The sequence below is a fragment of the Homo sapiens genome, chromosome Y (genome assembly GCF_000001405.40).
Source record: "Homo sapiens chromosome Y, GRCh38.p14 Primary Assembly".
Lineage (NCBI taxonomy): Eukaryota > Metazoa > Chordata > Mammalia > Primates > Hominidae > Homo > Homo sapiens.
In genome coordinates this window covers 23,105,535-23,112,066 of record NC_000024.10, presented here as the reverse complement: position 1 = coordinate 23,112,066, position 6,532 = coordinate 23,105,535, and the positions used below count along the sequence as shown (strand labels likewise).

At 35.7% G+C, this 6,532-nt stretch overlaps 1 long non-coding RNA gene across 2 annotated transcripts; it reads left to right on the top strand.

Moving 5' to 3' along the window:
- Window positions 1-2,328: 2,328 nt before the first annotated feature.
- Window positions 2,329-5,670, top strand: LOC105377238 (uncharacterized). Of its 2 annotated transcripts, none has more exons than XR_938664.2 (3): window positions 2,329-2,511; window positions 3,174-3,211; window positions 5,570-5,670. It is a non-coding gene; the product is annotated as an uncharacterized LOC105377238 (long non-coding RNA). The 2 variants fall into 2 exon arrangements; XR_938663.2 differs by having other exon boundaries at window positions 3,174-3,238.
- Window positions 5,671-6,532: the final 862 nt, after the last annotated feature.

Sequence of the window (6,532 nt, the reverse complement as noted above, 5' to 3'; positions counted from 1 at the left end):
TTTAATTTTATTTCACTGAACTTTCTTTTCACTGCAATTCTTTCCTTATTTTCATTGTTTTTACACAAATTAGATTCATTGATCAGTTTTTTTGTATCACATTAATTTTTCCTTATTTAGTTTCAACCACTGCAATTTTTGCTTTTGTTTTCCAAATCCAAATCTCTCTGACATCAAATTTTGCAAGTCTAAATGTAAAGAAAATGTCTTTTGCAGCAACTTGGGTGTAACTGGAGGCCATTATTCCAAATGAAGTAACTTAAGAATGGAGATGCAGAAACCATGTGTTCTCAGTTATAAGTGAGAGCTAAGCTATAAGGACACAAAGACATTCAGAGTTATACAATGGACATCAGAGAATCAAAAGGGGGAGAAGGTGGGTGAGGCATGAGGGCTAAAAGCTGCATATTGGGTACGATATACACTACTCAGGTGATGGGTGCACTAAAATTTCAGACTTCACCACTATACAATTCATCCATGTAACAAAAAACCACGTGCACCCCTAAAGCTATCGAAATAAAAAATAAAAACAAAAACAAAAAATAAAATTTGAATGCATTTTATCAAAAGGATGCGAGCCTTCTTTCCATTTTTAATCAATAGCATTGTTGCCATGTGTGGTATCATCTGTTGTCAGTTTTATTTTATGCTGATTATTTCTACCAGCCGTAACAATTGGGAAATAGGCAAAAAGTTGGTTGTATTTATTTCCTAGATAATCAATAACAAACTTCAGAGCAATCTAATGAGACAGAGTTATAGGTGCACAGAAGAAGAAGAAAAGCTACAGTTGTGTGGAGCATGGATGGCTAAACTCCTGGTTAACTCGATGGGGTCAAAAGGACAAATGTGGGGCAGAGTTCAGATCTTTTGACAGGGTCAACGGATCTGGCATCAGTCCCTGGCTGCTCTCTTCTAAGTTTTCAGTCGTGCTCTTCTCCATTCCTCACCAGACCCCTGGCCTCTTTGGAGCTGCCTGGACAGGAGCTCTCCTGGCCTCTGGCAAACTCCTGGCTGGGTTGCGGATGGAAATTCCTGGTACCCTTAGTTGAGTTCATACAAGCTGAACGTTTTCAAAAGGAACTAATTTTACTTGAGCCAACTAAACAAAACTGAAATACACACAGAAAATACAAAAGCACAGAAATAGATGAGGGTTCCATGCCATGGGCATTTTAATCATGTGTATCAAGAACCTTTATAGAGTTCATGTCTGGCCCAGCCAATCCACTTCTAGGAAGTTATCTCAAGGTGATGTACTGGATATGAGTTGAAAGATGTGTATACGACGTATTTATCAACAAAAATTGGAACAAGGTAAATATGTTCTGATAGAGGAATAATTCAAATAGAGTATTTTCATACCATTTAATACTCAGCTACGAAGCAGGGCTGGTAAACTTTTCTGGAAAAGAATAGATAGTAAGTATTGTAGATTTGTGGGCCATATGGTGTCTGTCAGAAATAATCGATTCTGCTATTGTAGCACAGCAATGGGCATAGATAGTACATAAAGGAATCAGCACATTCATGTTCCAATAAAACTTTGTTAATTTACCAAAAAAAAAAAAAAACACAAAACCCAGGTGGAATTGGCTTATGAGCCTTAATTTGCAGACCCCTGGTTTACAGAGATGATATGGATTTGTATTTACTGACAAAGAGAGCTGATTATAATATACTATTGGGCAAAAACAAAAGCAGATACTAGTATAGCATTTATGGTATGATGTCACTTATGCAAAATGAAGATTGATATATATATATATATATATATATATATATATATATATATATCAGTAGAGAAGTGTCTAGAAGGATGTTCAGCAAATACTAATGAAGATATTATCACTAGGTTGAAGAATTTGAGATGATTTTTTTCCTTTATTTGTTTTCACATTTTTTCATTACTAGAAAAAATATTTTTATTTAATAATTCATACTCTTTGACAGAGTACTTCCACGGTTGTTGTTGGGGTTGCCGCACAGCTGTGAAGCCTGTGCAGTTGCACACTTCCAGGAGATGCCATCACATGGACTACAATGTGAAGGATTCCCCCAGAGTTGTGTGGCGAGGCAGTCTTCCCACCTCCCATTCTCTGTTCAGCTCTGTCCAATTAATTCAGCAAGCATTTGTTTGTCATCTACTACACTAGACATTGTTCTAGACAGAAATATCGGGAAACAAAGCATACAAAAATGTTTGCCCTTGTAGTGCTTTATGTTCTAGTGAAGGAGAAAGATGATAAGGAGAATAAAGAGTGACACATATGCAAGCTTCCTGGAGGTCAAGTAGCCCAGTTTTTGGCAGAGGGAATAGCCAGTGGGAAGAAGGCAGGCAGGGCAAATATTTACAACCCTCGTTTTACAGAAGAGAACATTGGAACTTAGGGAGGTTTAAGGGATGGCTGAGGGTCAGAACGTGGTCAGCACCAGAAGCAAGGCCTTTCAATTGCAAGGTCAGGGTTCCTTCCACACTGGGACAAGAGGCAGCACCTGCAAGATAAGGTAGAGGTGAATGAACCTAGGTGGCTTTAGTTAGATTCTGCAGACTTTTATGACAGGCCAATGCATATAAATGATAATAGCTGACATCACATTAAGAAAAAGATGCAGCATCTCATGAGATCTACTACATGCTCCTGATTAGGAAAAGGAATGTTGAAAAATAGCACTGAGTTTATAAAAATAGCGTTTAGGGTGTAATTCTCATTTTTTTAGTACATGAATGCTTAAGAAAGATGTTCATCAAATGTTAGCAATGCTTATTACTTGATGGTAGGATTTCAAAGAGTTTTAAATTTTCTTCTTTATTCTTTTCTGAATTGTTTGAGTTTTTTGCAATGAGAGTGTGAAAACAGAAGAAATAAAAAAGTTTGATGTTAGAAAGATACCATTAAGCTAACATTTACACACTCTGTGCTGTTCCACAGCACCTGTAGTACCACTATTTCTTTGTAAATTCTTCCAGGGCAGAGACTGTGTTTTATTCATTCTTCTTTGCCCAGCATGTGGAACCTCCTACAAAACAAGCATTCAACAGGGTTTGTGGAACAAATGCAAAGTGCATTTGCGAACTGCAGCTTATATAATCTACAATAGACACCTAGGGGGGCTCAGGAATGACACGAACAGTTTCCAGCCGAAGGGAATTTCATTTTCTTTTCTAGTTGGAGTTTCCATGGCACCCAGAAGACCAGGGATCCTGGTAAGAAAGTTTTAAAACGCTGAAGTGGTAAGTTTGTAAATTTGTGATACCTGGTGTCAAGTCCTACTTCAGGAATCTACAAAAATTGGGCCTTTTGAATAGAAGTGTTTTAGTGAATAATGAGTGATGTGGCAACTTATTCTGATAATATTTCAATCTAGCTTTTTGCTTTTAATGGTAGTTGCCATTTCTATTGGGCTGCATCATTCCCAGGAAAGCCTTCTTTTAAAATCAGTACAGGATGTGTGCATCCTAATACAAAAATCCCAAATCCAGAAATGCCCCTGAATCTGAAAGTTTTTCAGTGCTAATATGAGATAGTGAAACCTTTGCTTTCAGATGGTTCAGTGTACAAAAACATTGTTTCATAGACAAAATTATTTAAGGTGTTGTATAAAATTACTTTCAGACTATGTGCCTAAGGTATATATGAAACATAAATGAATTCCATGTTTAGATTTGGGTCTCACTCCCAGATATCTCATTATATATATGCAAATATTCCAAAATCAAAATCAAAAACAAACAAACAAAAAAACCGCCAAATCCGAAACACTTCTGGTTTCAAGCATTTTGGAGAAGGGATTTTCAGCCTCTCCCTAGAGATTAATTTGTTTGATGTGGTCAATTGCCTGATTATTCAAACTCCTCAAAAAGTGCAGGTCTTTCCTCCATACCACCTGTTTAGGTTTTGAATAGTTTAGAAAAAAAAATAAGTGACTGTCTTTAAGTCATTGATTAAAAGTTAATAGCCTTAAAATGTTTCCATTCCTATTTTATTACAAAGTATTGCTCGAAACAAGTTTTAATAGTGAGAAGGAAAGTTGTCACCCATAGGTTTAGGCACAATTTTTCAGTCTCCTTTACTCACTTAGCATTAGACTAGAAACACTTTCCCAATGATTTTTTGAATACTTGTGTAGCATTTGAACTTGTAGATGACCACACTGTACAAAACCATTGCAGAATTAGCATACATTCATATTAGTGTTAGTTTTTTAGTGATTTTTAATTGAACAGGGAAATTTTACATATTTGGCTCTATTCTGTAACTACAAGCAAAATTCTAACTGACTTTTCCCTCTTTCAGATTCTTAATTATTAAACTCATCTGACCATTTTTATTTTTATTTATTTAATTGACAAAGAGCGTATATACTCAAGGTGTACAATGCAATTATTTGATATGCCTAAATTAGGTTGGTGCAATTAGTTTGCACCAACCTAATACATTGTATAATTACTACAATCAAATTAATTAATACATACATTATCACCCATGCTATACATTAGATTCTCAGAAATTGCTCATCTTATAACTGAAAGTTTGTCCCCTTTGGTCAAAATCTACCCATTTCCCCCACCGCCATTCCCTGGCAACTGCCATGGTACTCTATGTTTTGATGAGTTCAACTCTCTTATATTCTGCATATAATACACTGTTGACCCTTGAACAGCGTGGAGTTTGAGCACTGACCCCTGCATAGTCGGAAATCAGCATATAACTTTTTCTTAAGGCATGGGGTCTCACTATGTTTCCCAGACTGGGCCTTGAATTACCTTGGCCTTAAAACTTGATTCTCCAAAAGCTTAACTACTAATAGCCTACTATTGACCAATAGCCTTACCAATAACGTAAACACTTGATTAACATGTATTTTGTATATGTATTATATACTGTATTTGTACGCTAAAGTAAACTATAGAAAAGATGGTGTTATTAAGAAAATCATAAGGAAAAGAAAATATATTTACTATTCCTTAAGTCAAAGCGGAGAGGTCTTCATACTCCTTGTGTTCCTATTGGGTAGACTGAGGAAGAGAAGGAAGAGGAGGATTGGTCTTGCTGTCTCAGATGTGACAGAAACAGAAGAAAATTCACATATAAGTGGACCTGTACCATTCAAACTCATGATGTTCTATTAGTCTATGTGTTTGTTTTTATGCCAGTACCATACTCTTTAGATTAACATAGCTTTGTAACATAGTTTGAAATCAGGAAATGTGATGCCTCCAGCTTCGCTCTTCTTTCTCAAGATTGCTTTGGTCAGGTTTTTTTGTGGTTCCATATGAATCTTAGAATTATTTTTTCTCTATCTGTGAAGAATGCTGCCATTGGAATTTTGATAGAGTTTGCAATGAACCTATAGATCACCTTGGGTAGTATGGATATTTTAATAATATTAATTCTGATACATGAACATGTGATGTCTTTCTTTTTATTTGTGTCATCTTCAATTTATTTTCTCAGTGTTTTATATGCTGATATTTAAACTTCTTGGTTAAATGTATTCCTAAGTAATTTTATTGTGCTTGTTGCTATTGTAAGTAGGATTGTTTTCTTTCTTTCTTTTTCAGATAATTTGTTGGTGCTGTATAGAAGTGCAATTCATTGTTCAATTCCCACCAGTGATTGAGAACGTGCGGTGTTTGGTTTTTTGTCCTTGCGATAGTTTGCTGAGAATGATGGTTTCCAGCTTCATCCATGTCTCTACAAAGGACATGAACTCATCATTTTTTATGGCAGCATAGTATTCCATGGTGTATATGTGCCACATTTTCTTAATCCAGTCTATCATTGTTGGAGTTAATGGGTGCAGCACACCAACATGGCACATGTATACATATGTAACAAACCTGCACGTTGTGCACATGTACCCTAAAACTTAAAGTATAATAATAATAATAATAATAATAATAATAATAATAATAATGAAAGAATTGCAATTCAATTTTAATGTTGATTTTGGTATTCTGGAACTTTACTGAATTCTCTTTTTAGGTCTAACAGTTTTTTGGTGGAGTTTCTGTATACAAGGTCATGTCATCTACGGAGACAATTTTGCTTCTTCCTTTCTGATTTGGATATTTTTTATTTCTTTTTCTTGCCTAACTGCTCTAGGTAGCACTTGTGGTACTATGCACAATAGAAGTGGTGAGTGTGGGCACCCTTGTTCCTGATCATAGAAGAAAAGCTTTCTGCTTTTTACCATTGGGTATGATGTTGGCTGTGGGCTTGTCCAATATGGCATTTATTCTGTTGAGGAACATTCCTTGCATACCTAATTTGGTGAGAGTTTTAACAGCATTTTGAAGTATAAGTGACATAAAATAAACAGCATATGTATCTAGTGTACAATTTGATAAGTTTTGACATACGTATATACCCATGAAGCCGATCAATATAGTGAACATAAACATCATCCCAAAAGGTATCCTTGTGCTCCTTTGTAATCTCTCCTTCCTGTCTCTCTCCATGTACCCTCTTCTCAGGCAACCACTGATCTCCTTTCTGTCATACAGATTGGTTTTAATTGTCTA